This window comes from Homo sapiens, chromosome 19 (assembly GCF_000001405.40).
Source record: "Homo sapiens chromosome 19, GRCh38.p14 Primary Assembly".
Lineage (NCBI taxonomy): Eukaryota > Metazoa > Chordata > Mammalia > Primates > Hominidae > Homo > Homo sapiens.
Genome location: NC_000019.10, coordinates 22,322,720 through 22,341,422, shown reverse-complemented (window position 1 = coordinate 22,341,422; position 18,703 = coordinate 22,322,720). Strand labels below are relative to the sequence as shown.

General features: G+C 45.2%; 1 long non-coding RNA gene across 1 annotated transcript; it reads left to right on the top strand.

Annotated features, from left to right (window-relative positions):
• Positions 1-9,842: 9,842 nt before the first annotated feature.
• On the top strand, positions 9,843-13,063 carry LOC105372330 (uncharacterized). Its single transcript, XR_001754094.2, has 3 exons — positions 9,843-10,053; positions 11,995-12,070; positions 12,691-13,063. It is a non-coding gene; the product is annotated as an uncharacterized LOC105372330 (long non-coding RNA).
• Positions 13,064-18,703: the final 5,640 nt, after the last annotated feature.

The following is an 18,703-nucleotide window of genomic DNA, read 5'->3' as shown; positions in this document are numbered from 1 at the left end:
TAAGCCTAAAATAAAAAAGGCAAAATCTCCCCTATTGGCAGGTCCATATATCAAATTAGCCAGTAAAAAAAGGCACTCTCTGTCCTAGCTAGGCTGAGAGAACAGGTAAGATTCCAGGTCTCCTCTTTGTACAAAGATCATAAAAAATCGCCACTTCCTCTCACATTGTATAAAGCCCTTGGGTGATATGGAGAGCATAAATTCAGGTGACACAGGGAGTGTATCCAGAACACAACAGAAATTTTTCTTATTGTATGCGCACCCAGCCAACCATTAGCCTTGTCACCGTCACACATAAACAGAGCCCACTGGTGAGGTCCTGAATCAAACTCGTGGATGCCATTCATAGTTGAAATTGTGACTGCATACGTGAACACCTGGCTACAGTTGGAATGGTGACTCATTTCTAAACCCAGCTCATAGGCAGATGAAGACCCTCCTATCTAAACTCAGCCATTATTAAAGATGTTCACTCTCATATCTGGGCTTAGAATCACAGGTAAAATTGTGGGTTCACACAAGCACAAAAGTTTCAGAACAGATTGCAGCTCTCATGCATACTGCATAATGCCCTCAGTAAGACAGAGAGGGTCCTTACAGGGCCGGGCACACAAATGAGATTGTGACACCCATATGCACACCCAGATAATGATAAAGACTGTCATCCAACCACATGAACACAGCCAGTGTTAAAGTCCTGAATCTCATGCCAGGAGGCAGTCGAAAGTTGGAAAACTGATTCTCATTATGTGGAGAGTCAGCAACCCACCTGACCAAGATTCAGCACACCTGTGAGGCTGTGACCCTTTGAAAATAATACAGTGCACGGGAGGGATTGTGGCTGTCATGCAAGGATCCTGTCCACTGTTGAGATTGTAACTCTTGTACTGAGACCCAACATACAGAATGTGTTGACTCTTATACCTAGAACTGGGCCATGTGCATGATTGTTAATTTTATCCCTGGACTTTTCTGCAGGTGTGATCGTGACATATTTCTTTGCCCAGTACCTCAGTGATTTGACTCTCTTGCCTGGGCCCTCTCCTCATAGGGACATATTTCCAAACCCAGGACCTAAGTGATTTGACTTTCTTCTGCTGCTTGGGCTGTGACCAAGAAGGGATTGTGATGTATTACTGGACCCAGATCAAAGGTGATGTGACTCTTCTTTCATCAGGGCACTGCCAAAAAAAAAAAATTGTGACATATCACTGGACCCTGATTCTAGATGATGTAATTCTCCTCTTTTTGCTTTGCCCCACATATTTTGGGTATCATGACACATCACTAGGCCCAGAACCTCGGGTACATGAGGCTCCTGCCTAAGCCTGGCCTGCAGTGAGCCTTGTGACATACGTCTGCATCCATGACCTAAGAATTGTGAATCTTTCTCTGCCTGAACTTTGCCAACAAGGAAAACTGTGACATATTTCTGCACCCAGCAACCAGTTGATGTGTCTCTCCTGCCTGGGATTTTCCCAGAGAGAGCATTGTGACAAAATTGCTGGGCACAGCAGCCAGGTGAGGTGATTCTGTTCCTGTTGCATTGCTTTCAGGAGATTTTTAAATATTTTTGGCTAAGCATGCTAACGATGTGACTCTCCAGCCTGGTCCCTGTTTTCAGAAAAGACTGTGACATATCCATGGCCTAGTGCCTAGGTGATGTGGCTCTCCTGCTCGCTCCCTACTGAGAGGTGGCATTGTGACATATATCTTGGTTCAGCTCACAGGTGCAATAATGACCATCATACCTTGTGAGATGAACCAGCCAACAGAAGAGATACTGACTCTCATATTTTGGCTTAGAAAAATGAGTAAGACCCTGTGTCTCCTCTTTGTATGAAGGTTATAGAAAGTTACCACTCTCAGCCTGGGCACAGTGACTCACACCTGTAATCCCAGCACTTTGGGTGGCTGAGACAGGTGGATCACGAGGTCAGGAGTTCAAGACCAGCTGGCCAAGATGGTGAAACCCCATCTCTACTAAAAATACAAAAATTAGCTGGGTGTGGTGGCAGGTGCCTGTAATCCCAGCTACTTGGGAGGCTGAGGCAGGAGAATCGCTTGAACCCAGGGGGCGGAGGTTGCACTGAGCCGAGATCGCACCACTGCACTCAAGCCTGGGCGACAGAGTGAGACTCTGTCTCAAAAAAAAAAAAAAAGAAAGAAAGAAAGTTGCCAGTCTCACATATCACATAAAGCATTCGGGTACTACAATGTCATCACAAATCCCAGAACATGAGTGAGATTGTGTTCTCGTGTGCACAGTCCACCAACCATTAAAATTTCCACCCTCTCACATTCACAGAACCTACTGGTGATGTTTTGAATCTCACACACAAATGCAGTCAGTCCACAGTTTAAATTGCAACTTTCATATCTGAACATCAAGGCACAATTGGAATGGTTACTCATTTTTAATCCCAACTTATAGGCAGGTGAAGACTCTCCTATCCGGACACAGTCAATAAGAAAGATGTTGACTCTCACACCTGGGCTTAGGGCCACAGGCATGATCAAAGATCCTTTCTAACATGGAGGTTTCAGAGCAAATTTTGACTCTCATGCATGTTGAATAAAGCCCTCGAGTGGTACAGAGAGTGTTCTAACAGGGCTCCGTACACAAGTGAGATTGCAACTCTCATCTGCACACCCAGGTGAGAATAAAGATTGTCATTGTCCCACATGAACACAGCTCACTGTTGAGGTTCTGAATCTCACAGCCTGAGGTCGCTAAAAGTTGCAAATTTGACTCTCATACATGAATCTGTTCCCCAAGTGGGTTCATGACACTCAGATTAAGATTCAGCAAACCCGTGAGGCTGTGACTCTACTTACAAAACACAATCCCCAGAAGGAATAGGGCTGTCAAACATAGATCCTGTTGGCCAATGGGATTGTGACTTGTGTACTTAGAATGACCAGACAGAAATTGACTCATACCTAGAACCAGGACATGTGTGAGATTGTTAATCTCAACTCTGGACCTTCCTGTAGGTGTTATTGTTACATATGCCGCAGTCCAGCACCTGAGTGATTTGACTCTACTGCCTGGACCCCGCTCACATATGACATTGTAACATATAACTGGGTGCTGGGACATTTTGACACCACTGGGCCTTGCACTCGGGTGATGTCTTCTCTCATGCCTTGACGCTGCCCACGGGAGGCATTGTAACATACCACTGGGTCCTATGCCCATTTGATTTAACTCTCCTGCCTAAGCCCTGCCTATACAGAAAATTGTTTCATATCCTGGGCCTGTCACCAAGTGATGTGAGTATCTTCATTTGCCTGATCCTAGCTCTCAGGGGAGAATGGAACATATCACTTTGTTCAGTACTGAGCTGATGTGACTTCTCTTGCCTTCTGAGGTTTTCCTCACAGGGGAGATTGTGACATAAAGCTGGGCTCAACACCATGGTGATGTTACTCTTTTGCCTTGGCACTGTCTTCAGAAGGCCTTGTGACATATTGCTGTTACCAGCACCAAGGTGAAGTGTGTCTTGTGTTTGGACCCTGCCCATAGAGTGCATTGTGACATATCTTTGGGCCCATCAACTATTTGATTTGACTATCCCCCCTTACCACATCTTTGCCCATAAGGGATATGGTGACATACATCTGGGCCCAGCACCTTGGAAATGCAATGCCCCTCTCTTGCCTGAGCTATGTTCAGAAAAGAAACGGCGATGTATTGTTGTTTATCACCTAGGTGATATGACCTAGTACGTTACTGAGCGCAAAGGTGGTGTGATACTTCTGCCTGGTCCTTGCCAATAGAGGTAAGTGGAATATATCTCTGGGGCCCATAACCTATATGATGTGAGTCTCCTTTTGTTTCTTGAGTCTGTCCACAGTGGAAATTATGATATATTGCCAGGTCTTGCACCCAGTTCTTGTGACTCTCTTGCTTGTATCTTTCTCACGTGGGACATTGTGATATATTTCTGAATCCAACACCAAGGTGATGTTACTCTCTTGCCTGGAATATTGTTACATCTCTCTGCACTTATCACCTAGGTGATTTGACTTCTTCCTCCTGCCTGGTCACTGCTCACAGAGGGCATTGTGACATATCACTTGGCTCAGCACCTACATCATGTGACTCTCCACTCATGCCTCAACCATGCTTACTAGGGTGACTGTAAAATATAACTTGGTCTATCCCATAGGCTTTGTGACTTTCTTCTTCCTGAGCCCTAACACAGAAAGCATTGGGATATACCTCTGGGCCTCTTGCCTAGGTGAGGAGACTTTTCTGCCTAGGCCCTCTTCTTAGGGGGTATTGTGACATATTGCTGGACCCAGCAACTAGATGACGATGATGTGACTCTCTTCTACTGCTTGGACTTTGCCCAAGAAGGAATTGTGATGTATCACGGGGCCAAGAACCTAGGTGTTGTGACTCTCCTCCTCTTCTGCCAGGGCCCTGCATACATTCTATGTTGTGACATATGGCTGGGATCAAAACCTAAGTGATGCAACTCTTCGACCTGGGCCCTGCCAGCAGGGGTATTATGACATCTTTTTGTTCATCACTTAGGTGTTGTGACTCTTTTCTTCTGTCTGGGTCCTGACAGAAAAAGGGGATTGGGGCATGTCCCTTGACCGAGCACCTAGGTGATGTGACTGTCTTATTTGCCTGGGCCTTGCATATTTGGGGTATTGAGACATATGGCTGGGCCCTACATCAATGGGACTTAAGGCTCCTGCCTTGGTCTTGCTAACAGAAAACTTTTTACATATCCCTGAATCCATCACCTAGGATATGTGACTCTCCTCTTCTGCCGGCATTCTGCCCACAGGAAAGACTGGGACATATTGCTGGGCCCACCATTGAGATGATGTGTCTTTCCTGCCTGGGTACTGTCCACAGGGAGCATTGTGACATATCACTGGGCCCAGCACCTAGGTGATGTGAGTATGCATCGTGTTCCCTGCTTTCAGGAAGGCATTGTAAAATATCCCTGACTTAGCATGAAGGGATGTGACTCTTCTAGCTGGTCTTTGTCCTCAGGGAAGAGTGTGATATATGCCTTGTCCAGCTCCCAGTTGATATAACCCTCCTGCTCACTCTCTACCTATAGGTGGGATTATGACATATCTTGGCCCAGCTCACAGGTAGGGTGCTGACCCTCTTTCCTCGAACCAGTCAATATAAGATACTTTCATAGCTAGACTTAGTGAAATGGGTAAGATCCTGGGTCTCCTCTGTGTATTAAAGTCATAGAGAACTACCACTTTCTTATATCTTATATAAAGTCCTCCAGTGGTAGAGAAGATGTCATCACAGGGCCCAGAACACAAGCGAGATTGTGTTTCTCATATGCTCACCCAGCCAACTGTTAGGATTGTCACCCTCACATCTAAACAGAGCCCACTGGTGAAATGCTGAATCTCACATGCAGACGCAGTCTGCAGTTAAAATTCTGACTGTCATAAGTGAACACTTGGCCACAGCTGTGCTGGTGACTCATTCCTAAACCCAGCTCATAGAGAGGTCAGGACTCTCCCATCTAGACTCAGCCAATAGGAGAGATGTTGAGTCTCATATGTGGACTTAGTGGCACAGGTACAATCATGGGTGCATAACAGCATGAAGGTCTCAGAGCAGATGTTGACTCTCATACATAGCATATATAGCCCCTGAATGGTAGAGAGACTGTCCTCACAGAGCCCAGCAAACAGGTAAAATTATGACACTCTTTTGCACAGGTGGCCAATAGTAAAGATTGTCATCCTTCCACATGAACACAGCCCACCGTTGAGGTTCTGAATCTCCCACCTGGAGGCAGTGGAAAGTTGGAGAATTAACTCTCATACATGGATCTTGTCCCTAGGTTGGTTGGTGAATCTCAGACCAAGATTCCCCACATCTGTGAGGCTGTGACTGCACTAAGGGGAAACAGTCTTCAGAAGGAGTTAAGTCTCTTTTGTACAGATCCAGTTTATTTTTGAGATTGTGACTCATATACTTAGACCAAACCAACAACTGGGACATGTGTGGGACTGTTAATCCTGTCCCTGGACCTTCCTGTAGGTGTGATTCTGATGTATCTCTGCCCAGAATCTGAGTGATTTGACCCTCTTGCCTGAGTCTATGCTCCAGTGGAGATTATGACATGTCATTTTTTTCCATACTTAGCTGATGTGATCTATTCTCCTGTCTTGGCTGTCTCCATAGAAGACATTATGATATATTTACAGGCCCTGCACCCAGTTTATGTGATTTCTGGCTATCGCCTGCCCACATTGGCTATTTTGACATATTGCACAGTCCAACACCCAGGTGATTTTACTCTTCTGCCTGGGCCCTTCCTATAGGGGACATTATTAAATATTTTTGTGCCCTTTATCTGTATGTCTGTGTGTGTGTGGTGTGTGTTTTGAGACAGAGTCTCACTCTATTACCCAGGCTGGAGTGCAGTGGCATGACCTTGGCTCACTGCAACCTGCACCTCCCAGGTTCAAGCAATTCTCATGCCTCAGCCTCCCAGGTAGCCGGGATTACAGGTGCCTATCATCACGCCTGACTAATTTTTGTATTTTTAGTAGACAGGGTTTCATCATGTTGGCCAGGCTGGTCTCAAACTCCTGACCTCTGGTGATCCACCTGCATTGGCCTCCCAAAGTGCTCAGATTACAGGCATGAGTGACCGCGCCTCATCATATACATGTGTTTTGACTCTCTTCTCCTACGTGATTTCTGTTGATGGGGAGATTGACATGTCTCTGGCCTCAGCACCCAGCTGATGTGACTCGTCTCTTTTTCCTATATTTTGTGCAAACAAAAGATAGTGACATATCACTAGGTCAAACAAGGTGATATTACTCTTGATTTGGTCCTGCTCTCAAAAGGCATTGTGACATATTGATGAGCCCAGCACAAAAGTGATTTGAGTCTCATGCCTGGACTCTGCTTACAGGGGCATTGTGACATATCTCTGGGCTGATCTACTATTTGATGTGACTCTCCTTTGTACCTGGGCTTTGCCTATAGAAGACATTGTGACGTATCTCTCAGCTCTGCACCCGGGTGACTTGACTTACCTCTTCTGCCTGGGCCATACCTACAGGGAACATTGATACATATCTGTGGCCCCAACATGTAGATGATGTGACTTTTTTCTTTTTTCTTGGACCCATCCACAGTGGGAATTGTGACATATCACTTGGTTTAGGATTTGTGTGGTGTGACTCTCCTCTTATACCTAGGCCCTGCCCACTGGGGTGATTGTGACATATATCTGGGTGTAGCCCCTAGGTTATGTGAAGCTCCTCTTTTCCATGGTCCCTACTTATAGCATGCATTGTGAAATCTCTGGTTTACTCACCTCGGTTATGTGACTTTATTTTTAATTTTTATTTATTTATTTATTTATTTATTTTTGAGATGGAGTTTCACTCTTTTGCCCAGGCTGGAGTGCAATGTTACAATCTCGGCTCACTGCAACCTCCACCTCCCTGGTTCAAGTGATTCTCCTGCCTCAGCCTTCAGAGTAGCTGGGATTACAGGCATGCACCACCACACCCAGCTAATTTTGTATTTTTAGTAGAGACAGGGTTTCTCCATGTTGGTCAGGCTGGTCTCGAACACCTGACCTCAGGTGATCTGCCCACCTGGCCTCCCAAAGTGCTGGGATTACAGGTGTGAGCCACTGTGCCCGGCCATGACTTTCTTTTATTTGCCCTTCCATCAGGGGGCATTTTGACATATTGCTGGGCTGATTATCTGGATGATGTGACTCTCTTCACCTACCTGCATACCACCCGAAGGGGACATTGTGAGATATCTTTGAACCAATTTTTTACATAATGTGCTTCTCTCCGCTGCCAAAAACATGCCTAAAGAAAAGATTCTTTAGTCCCCTGTGACATATCTCTGGGCTCGGGACCCAAATGTCATGAATCTCTTGTCTGGGCTCTGCCTAGAGGAAATATTATATGCTGCTGGGCCCTGAACACAAGTGATGTGACTCTTCTGCCTGGGCCTTTTCCATAGAGGGGATTGAGACATATTCCAGGTGAAGAATCAAGGTGGCGTTACTCTTATTTCTCAGCCTTTCCCTAAGGTAAGACTGTGACATATAACTCGGCCCAGCACACAGATGAGAGTTTTACTCTTGTATGCAAACCCAGCCAAAAGTTACTATTGTCACTATAACACAGGAACAAAGACCACTTTTGAGGTCCTGAGTCTTATATGTGAACACAGCCAACAGTTGGAATTGGGACTGTCATATGTATATCTTGCCAGAAGTGAGATAGTGACTCACTCTGGATTCAGCTCACAGGAATGGTGATGACTCATACCTGGACCCAGCTAATAAGAGAGATGTTGACTCTGGTAGCTAGGCTTTGGGGTCTGGGTCCTTTACTTGTAGGAAAGTAACAGAAGATTATGACACTCACATATGTTGTATAAAGCTCTTGGGAAATACTGTCATTGCAGGGCCCAGTCCACAGGTGTAATTGTGACTCTTTTATACATACCTAGTCAACAGTTTGAATTGCCATGCTCATACATAGACCGAGCCTACCGGTGATGTCCTAAATCTTACACATGAACCCATTCCACCATTGAAATTGTGACTGTCATATATGGATCCAGCCACAGGTTGGATGGTGACAAATTTCTGTACCCAACTCACTTGCACAATGAACCTGGCCAATAGAAGATATTTTGACTCTTGTACCTAGGCTTAGGGCAACAGGTAAGGTTTTGGGTTTTCTGCTTGTATAAATGTCACAGAGGATTATCACACTCACTTATATTGTATAATGCCCCCAGGGTTGTAAAGAAAGTGCCATTACATAACTCAGCACAAAGTTGAGATTGTGACTCTCAGATGCACACTCAGCCAACAGTAGAGAATTGCCATTCATACACACGGACAGAACCCACTGGTGAGGTCCTGAATTTTACTCACAGATGCAATCCACAGTTGGAGTTTTTAATGTCATGTGTACCTCTAGCCACCACTGGGATGGTGACTCATATCTGAACCCAACTAAGAGGCAGAGCAATGACTTTTATACCTGGACACAGCCAATATGAGAAATGTTGACTCTCATACCTGGGAGTGGGGCAACAAGTAAAATCATGCATTTATACAGCACTAATGTCTCACAGGGGATTGTGAGTCTCACCCAAACAATGTGCAGCCCTCTGGTGGTACAGAGAGTGTCATAAGAGGACCCAGAACACAGCTGAGATTGTGATTCTCATATACACTTCCAGCCCACAGTAAAAATTGTCATCCTCCCACATGAATACAGACAACTCTTGAGCTTCTGAATCTCACACCTGGACACAGTTGAAAGTTGGAATTATAATCCTTACATGTAGATTTTGTCTCCAGGTAGACGGTAACTATAGGACCAGGATTCATTATACCTGTGAGGCTTTGCCTCTGATACCAGTACACAGCCTACCGGTAAAATTGAGGGTCTCATGCATGAATCTAGTCCGTCATTGAGATTGTGACTCACGCATTTGGATGCAACTCATGGGAGGTGTTGACTTTCCCACCTGAAGCTGGAACATATGTGGAACTGTGAATCTCATCCCTGGACCTTCCCACAAGTGTGATTGTGACATATACTTCTGCATAACCCCTGAGTGATTTTACTTTCCTGCCTGGGCACAGCCCTCAGGGGAGATTGTGACATATACCTGGGTCAAGCACCTAGGTGATGTGATTCTCTTGCTTGAGCCCTGCCCACAGAGGGTATTGTGAAATATCACTGGGTCATCTGACTCTTATCATTAGCTTGGGCCCTGCCCAGAAAGCCATTTGTGAGATATCACTGAGCCCAGTACCTCGGTGATGTGACTGTACTGCCTGGGCCCTGCCCACGGTAGGTATTGTGACATACCTCTGAACTCGTTGCCTAGGTGATGTGACTTTTTTCTTTTGCCTGCATTCTGCCCCTTGAAAATGGACTGTGACATACCACAGGCCCAAGTACTTAGATGATATGATTCTCCTCTTCTGCCTGGGTCATGGCAACAGGAGGATGAATTATTTTAGCAAGCCCAGATTACAGGTGATGTAAGCTTCTATCCTAGGCCCTGCCCACAGGAGGTATTGTGATTTATCTCTGTGGCCATAATTTAGGTGCTGTGACTCTTCTATTCTCTCTAAGCCATGCCAATGGAGGGGGATTGAAATATATCTTTGGGACAGCATAAAGGTAATGTGAAATTCCTGCCCGGGCCATGCCCATAGAAGGCATTGTGACATATCACTGGTCACAGCATGCAGGTAATTTAACTCTCCTTCCTGGGCCCTGCCCACAGGGGATATTTTAACATATCTTTAGCCCAGCACTTAAAATACGTGGCTCTCTTAGCTTCTTTCTTTTCCACAAGTGGGATTTTAACATATAAGTGCACCCAGTACACAGATGAGACTGTGACTCTTGTATGCTCATCCAGCCAACAGTTATGAGTGTCATTCTCACACATGAACAGAGACCTCTAGTGAGGTCCTGAGTCTCGTATATGGACACAGCCTACAGCTGGAATTTTGACTGTCATATGTAGATCCAGCCACAGGCGTGATGTTAGCTCACAGGCACCATGATGACTCTTATAACTAGACCCAGCCAATAAAATACATGTTGACCCTTATAGCTGAGCTTAAGGAAACTGGTAGGGTCCTGAGTCTCCTACCTGTATGAAAGTCACGGCAGATTATGAAACTTATTCATATTGTATAATGCCCCCTGGCAGTACAGAGTTTTATTACAGGGGCCAGCACACAGGTGAGATTATGACTTTGATATGCAGACACAGCTAACAGTATTGTCGCCTTGGTGCTAGGCCCAGCAGTACAACTCAATTCTTTTTTAGGACTGTGAGCCCTAGGAGCAGCAAAAGTCACATCAACTAGGTGCTGGGTCCAGTAATATGTCACCATATCCCTTGACAAGACAGCACAGGTAAGACAGTCACGTCAACTAGGTGAGAGTGAGAACCTGGATAATAGAGGAGTGACATCAGCTTGGTGCTGGGCCCAGTGAAATGTCATGTTGGGTATAAGTACATGAGTCATGATCTCAATGGTGTACTGGATCCATGCATGACAGCATCAATCTGTCCTGTGGACTGTCTTCTTAGTAGAGTGACAGCCTCACAGGTTTGCTGAATGTTGGTTGGAGAGTCAGAAACCCAAATGTGAATGAAATCTGCATATAGAGTCAATTCACTATTTTTGACTGGCTTTGGGTGTGAGATTCAGAACCTCAAGAGTGGGCTGTGTTCAGGTGGGATGATGACAGTCTATACTGTTGGCTGGGTGTGCATATCACTGTCACAATCTCAGCTGTGTGCAGTGCTCAGGCACAAAAGAAGAGTCAAATCACCTAGATGAATAATTAAGATATTTTATTCTCTTTTATTAGTCTTTTCTAATACTTCTATGGGCAAAGCCAATGCAGGAGAGTTGCATCCCCTATGTTTTGGACACAGCCATATGTCACAATACACAATGTATGCAGGGCCCAGGCAGTAGAGGGAAGTCAAATAACCTAGGTGCTGGACCCAGTGGTATATCACAATACCTCCTTGGACAGAGCCCAAGCAGTAGAAGAGAGTCACATCACCTCAGTGCTGTGTGCAAAAATGTGTCACAATACCAACTGAGTGGACGGCTCACTCATGAGAGTCACACCACCTAGGGGAGGGTCTCAAAAATACGTTGCAATGCCCCCTGTGGGTAGGGCTCAGATGGAAAAGAGGAGTCACATAAATTAGGGGCTTCATGTCACAATCACTCCAGTTGAAAGAGATAAGGCACAAGAGAAGTGATGCATCACATAGATGCTGGGCCCAGCAATATGTCACATTCCTCACATGGACGGGCCCTATGAAGAAAAGAAGAGTCACATCATCCAGGTGATGGGCCCAGAGATAGGTCTCCATGACCCCTGTCACCTGTGTGCTGGGCCCAGTCATAAGTAACTTCCTTCTGTGGGCATGGTCAGGTAAGAGAGGAGAGTCATATCACCTAGACGCTGGTCCTAGAGATATGCCACAATCTATTCTATGGGCACAGTTCAGGTAAGAGAAGAGAAAATTCACATTAACTAGGTGATTGGCTCAGAGTTATGTCACAATGCTCCTACAAGGCAGGGTCCAGGCAGAAGACCCAAATCATCTTGTTGCTGAGCCCAGCAATATGTCACAATCTCCCCTGTAGGCAGAACCTGAGACTAAGAGTTACACCAATTACCTGTTGGCCTACTGATAGGTCATAATCTTCCCTGTGAGCAGAAACCAGCCAGTAGAAAAGGTTCATATCACCTGCACGATTGGCACATAGATATGTCAAAATGCTCCCTACTGGCAAACCCCAGGCAGGAGGCTTACAAAACATAAATGTCAGCCCCAAAAATATATCACAATGATCCACATGGGCTGGGCACAGGCAGAATAGACATATAACCTGAGTGCTGAGTGTGGGGCCTAGAAACATGTGACAATGCTCCATGTAGGCAGGGCCACGGCAGAAGAGTAGAATAACATCACCTATGTTCTGAGTTCAGTGATATGTCACAATTTCAACTGTGAGCTGGGCCCAGGTGGGAGACTTCAAATTATGCTGGGTGCTGGGCACATGTTGTCAGTCACACCTGCAGGAAGGTCCAGGGATGAGATTAACAATCCTGCACATATCCCAGTTTCAGATATGACAGTCAACACATCCTGAATGTTGGGTCCAACTACATGAGGCACGTCTCATCAGTGAACCAGATCTATGCGTCATAGCCTCAATTCCTATTGCATGTTGTGTTGACTTAATGGAGTCCCAGTTTTCTTGGTGTGCTGAATCCTGGTCTGAGAGTCACCAACCCACCTGTGGACCACATTTATGTATAAGAGCCTTTTTTAAAAAAAATCTTCTGACTGCCTCTGGTTGTTAGATTTAGAACCTCAATGGTGCACTGTGTTGATGTATGTATGACTTACATCTTTACTTGACCATCTTTACTTTCAGCTGGGTGGTTGACCATCTTTACTTTCAGCTGGATGTTCATATGAGGGTCACAATCTCACCTGTCTGCTGGGCCCTGTGAAAACATTTTCTGTACCAACTGATGGCATTATACAGTGTATGTTAGTGTCACCATTCACTCTGAGGCATTCATGCTGGTATGGACCAATGATTGTACCTGTGGCCCTAAGCAAAGATATGACAGTCAACATCACTCCTATTGGCTCAGTCCAGATAGGAGAGTCCCACCTATGAGTGGATTTAAAAATAAGTTACCATTCCAAGTGTGGCCAAATCTTCACATATGAAAGTCTTAATTCCAATTGTAAGCTGCATTCCTGTGTGTTTTAAAACTTCACCAGTGGGCTTTGTCTATGTGTGAATGTGATGAATGAAATGGTTGGCAGGGTGTATGTAAAACACAATTTCACCTGTGTGCCAGGCTTTGTGTTGACACTCTCTGTACCACCCAAGATCTTTATATGATATGCAACAAAGTGGTAACCCTCTATTACCTTCGAACAAAGGGAAGACCCATAGTATTACCCATATTGGCTGGTTTGAGGTAAAAAAGTCATGGTCACACCTGTAAACTGAGCAAAGATATATGTCACAATCTTACTTGTGGGTAAGGAGCAGGCAGGAGAATCACATCATCTGGGTCCTTCTCCAGGAATATGTCACAATCATTTTTGAGGGTAGGGAATTGGCAGGAGAGTCACACTATCTGTGTGCTGGGCTCAGTGATAAGTCGTTCTCTATTTTGTGCAGATGGTCCAGGGCAAAGCTCATAGGAGACAAGGTCCCATCAATGAATTGATGGGTCCAAAGATATGTCAAAATACCCCTTATGGGCAGGATCCAGGCAGGAGACTCACATCACTTTGGCGCTGGGCCCAGAAATATGTCACAATATCTTTGATTGCAGCGTGAAGGCAAGAGTAAATATCAACATAGTGCTGGGACAAGGGGCATGTTACAATCTCCCCAGTGGGCAGAAGCTAGGAAAAAGAGAAAAGTCACATCAGCTAGGAGCTAGTCTCAGAGATATGTCACAATTTTTCCTGTAGACTGAGACCAGGTTGGAGAAAAGAGTCACGTCACCTGGATAATAGGCAGAGATAGGTCAAATGCCCCTTATAGAAAGAGCTCTAGCAGGTAAGTTACATCACATGGGTCTTGGGACTCAGCAATAGGTCTCAATGGCCCATGTGGGCAGGGCACAGGTAGGAGAGCCAAATATCCGGGGTGCAGGATCCAGTAATGTGTCACAGTGCCCTCTGGGGCATCGCCAAGACAAGAGAGGAGAGTCACATCACCTGCGTACAAGGCCCAGAAATATGTCACAATGTCACCTGTGGTTACAGACAAAGCAGAATAGTCACATCAATTAGATACTGAGTCAAGAGATATCTCACAATTTTACATTTGACTGAGCCCAGGCAGAAAACTCAAAATCACTCAGGTGGTGGGCAGGGGCATATGTCACACTGTCACCTACAGGAAGGTCTAGTAATGAGATTAACAATTTAGTTGCTGGGCGTGGTGGCTCATGCCTGTAATCCCAGCACTTTGGGAGGCCAAGGCAGGCGGATCACCTGAGGTCGGGAGTTCGAGACCAGCCTGACCAACATGACGAAACCCCATCTCTACTAAAAATACAAAAAATTAGCTGGTTGTGGTGGCGTGTGCCTATAATCACAGCTACTCGAGAGGCTGAGGCAGGAGGATTTCTTGAACCCGGGAGGCAGAGGTTGCAATGAGTAGAGATTATGCCACTGCACTCCAGCCTGGGTGACACAGCAAGACTGTCTCAAAAAAAAAAAAAGAAAGAAAAAAGAAAAGAATTTGGCACGTGTGTTGGTTCCAGGTACAAGAGTCAACACCTCTTGTATGTTATGTCTAAATACAGGAGTCACAATCTCAATGGTGGACTGGAATCGTGCATGAGAGCCTCAATCACTTTTGTGGACTGTGTCTCCTTAGTCACAGCCTTACAGGTATGCTGAGTCATGGTCTGAAAGTCACCAGCCCTCCTTTTGACTGGTTCCACATGTGAAAAGTCCACCCTTTGCCTCCAGTTGTGAGATTCAGTTCCTCAGCTGTGGGCTGTGTTCATGTGGAAAGATGACAATCTTGACTGTTGGGTGAGTATGCATGAGTGTCATATTCTCATCCGTGTTCTCGGTCCTGTTAGGACACTCTCTGTACCACCCGAGGGCTTTATACATTATGTATGAAAGTCACAATCTACTCTGACACATTTGTACTGATATGGACCTGTGATTGTACCCGTGGCCCTAAGCCCAGGTATGAGTCAACATCTCTTCAATTAGGAGAGTCCAGATTGGAAAGATTTTACCTGCCTATAAGCTGGGTTTATTAAACAGTCACTAACCCAACAGTGGCCAGGTGTTCACATATGACAGTCACAATTTTAACTTTGAACTGTGTCTACTTGTGAGTTTCAGGACTTCAAAATTGGACCCTGTCCATGTGTGTGGGTGACTTTAAAGGTTGGCAGGTTGCACACACAAAAAACAATCTCATATTTGTGCTGTGTCCTGTGATGAGTTTGTACCACTTGACGGCTTTATACTGTATGTGAGGGAGTGGTATAACTTTTTTTTTGTATAAATGTCATCATCATATCAGTGATCTCAGCAAATATATATATCAACATCCCTCCTGTGTGTAGGGAATGAGTAAGAGAGTTACGTCACCTTGGCACTGGCCCAGGAATATGTCACAATATTTTCGGAGGGCAAAGACCAGGCAGGAGAGTCACATCACCTTGATGCTTAGCCAGGAATATGTTACAATCCCCACCTGAAAGCAGGGCACAGGTGGCAGAGTTGCATCACCTGGGTGCTGAGCCATGTTATATCCCAAAACTTTTTGTGGCCAAGGCCCAGGCAGGAGAAGCATGTCACCTGTTTTCTGCGCCCAGTAATAGGTTACAATCTTCCCAGTAGAAAAAAGTAGAGTCACTACTTTTTGCTGATGAACGCAGATATGTCACAATTTCCTTGTAGATAGGGTCCAGACATAAGCCTCTAATCTAATTCCACTAATCCACACTAATTCCAACTCTGGCTCTGACAGCTTATGACTTATCATATACTTCTCATTTCTGTTATGCCCCAGGAATGAGTTTCTCAGTGACTTTTGAAGCAGTTTGTCCACCTGCTTTGGATGAACATTATTATCCTCTTGAATCCAAGGGCTGCTGTTTTGTTAAGCATATGAAGTCTTCCCTTGAGTATTCCTCTCACTTCCGTTCACTTTCTTCTGTAGCCTCCATTTTTCTAATTACTTTCCTGCCCTTCTCAATATGCATCAAGACCTTCAAGGTCATATATAAAAAGAGTGGGGAGGGAAGTCTAGCCCCCTTTGGGCAGTTAGCTGAAAAATGGGCTTCACATATACTAAAAGAACATGGGAAGTGGAAATCTGAGAAGAGAAATACTTATTTTGTTGCTAGAATGCTCTTAACTAGAGTCACTAGAGGTCAATGGAGTCAATGATGTAGGCCAGGCCAAGGCCACAGGTGCAAGAGACCCATAAAACAGAGATCAAAAGCTAGGTGTGCATGGTAAGACTTGAACCCCAAGGATGAAGAGGGGGCCACAGTTCACTCCAGTATCTCCTCTGTTCTCAAGTGGGCAACTAGTGGATCACCTACAACTAGTGATCAGCAGCTTCCCAATAAGATCTCAAGAGTTGGGCAAGTAGGGGGAAGTAATGCAAGACCCCGGAAGTATGTCAACATACAAAATCCCAAGTCAAAAAGTCACACCGTGCACTTGCCTTTTAAGTCACCCACTTGGCCCTCTTCCAAGTGTACTTTCCTTCCTTTTGTTTCTGTTCTGTAGCTTTCTAATGAACTTTTACTGCTGCTTTAAAACTTGCTTCGGTCTCTCCTGCTTTATGCCCCTCAGTCGAGTTGTTTCTTCTAAGGCAAGAATCGAGGTTCCTGCACTCATACCCGTATGAATTCACTTCCAGTAAAAGGTAGGAGAAAAGAGTGACATCACCTAGGTGGTGGTCCAGAAATATGTCACAATACCGTATTAGGGGAGGGTCAAGGAAAAGAGTCATATTACCTAGGTGAAGTGCTTAGAGACACATCACAATGCCCCCTGTGGGTAGGACTCAGGAAGAGAAGAGTTAAATTACCTAGAAGCTGTGCCCAGCTATATGTCACAATTAGCCCAGTGGGAAAAGCCAAGGCATGAGAGGCACATCATGTAGGTGCTGGGTCAAGTGATATGTCACAATCTCCTCTGTGGACAGAAAAGGAGACACACATCATCCAGCAGAAGAGCCCACAAGTATGTAATGATGATTCCTATGGACAAGGATCAAGGCAGTAGAATCACATCACCTGTGTGCTGGGCCCAGTGATAAGTCACTCTTTCTTCTGTAGGCATAGCCCAGGCAGGAGAGCAGAGTTACATCAACTAAGTCCTGGGCCCAGAGATATGTCACATTCTCTCCTATGGGCAAAGAGCAGGTATAACAAGGTAATCATTTCCAATAGTTGAGCTTCCAGAGATTATGTCACGATGGTCTCTGTGGTCAGGGTTCATGCAGGAGACTCACGTCACGTTGACTGTGCCCCAACAATGCGTCACGATGTTTTCTGAGAAGAGGGTCAAGGTAAAAAAGCAATGTCACTTTGGCATTGGGCCCAGCGATATGTCATTGTCTCCCACGTGAGCAGACATCAGGCAAGAGAAGAGAATCACATCCCCTTAGTTATGAGCACAGACGTGTCACAAAGCCCCAGGTAGGTAGTGCCAAGGCAGGAGAATAGTGTCACATCACCTAGGTGCTGTGTCCAGTGATATGCCACAATCCCATCTGTCAGCTGGGACCCAAGAGAGTCAAATCACTCAGGTGCTGGGAGAGGCATATGTCATGGGAGAGGCATATGTCACAATAACATCTACAGAAGATCCACGGTGAGATTAACAATTCCATACATGTCCCAGTTTTAGGTATAAGAGTCAACACCTCCTGAATGTTGAGTCTAAGTACATGAGTCACAATCTCAACAGTGGACTGCATCAGAGCCTCTATTCTTCCTGTAAACTTTGTCTTCTTAGTAAATTCACCATTTCGTGGGTGTGCTGAATCATGGTGTGGGAGTCACCAACCTACCTGTGGACCAGATCTATGTGTGCAAGACAATTTTCCAACTTTTGACTGCCTTCAGGTGTAGGATTCAGAAACTCTACAGTGGGGTGTGATGTCCCAGCTGAAGGGCTACTCATGCACAGAAGGGTGGTTATTGTAATCATCATGGTTTCTGTTGTTTTTACCTTGCTAAGAATACATGTGTAGCTTATAGCTGTGCAAGAAAACCATAAGGGTTTTGGTTAAATTACCTGTTGTTATATGTTATAAAGTAGACATAAAATTGGCCAAAATAGATTAAAATTCTACAAACATGGAGTCAAGTTTCTCTTGACTCCAGATAAACTTGGAGGCTTAGGAAAGACAGACCTGGAAAAAACCCAGTAAAAGGCTAATCAGAAGCTCAGAGGAAATTGCAACCATTTGCCCTTTATCTACCTATGACCTGGAAGCTCCCGCCCCACTTCGCGTTGTCCTTTTCTGAACAATGTGCATCTTACATATAGTGATGGATGTCTCCTGTCTCCCTAAAATGTATAAAACCAACATGTGCCCCA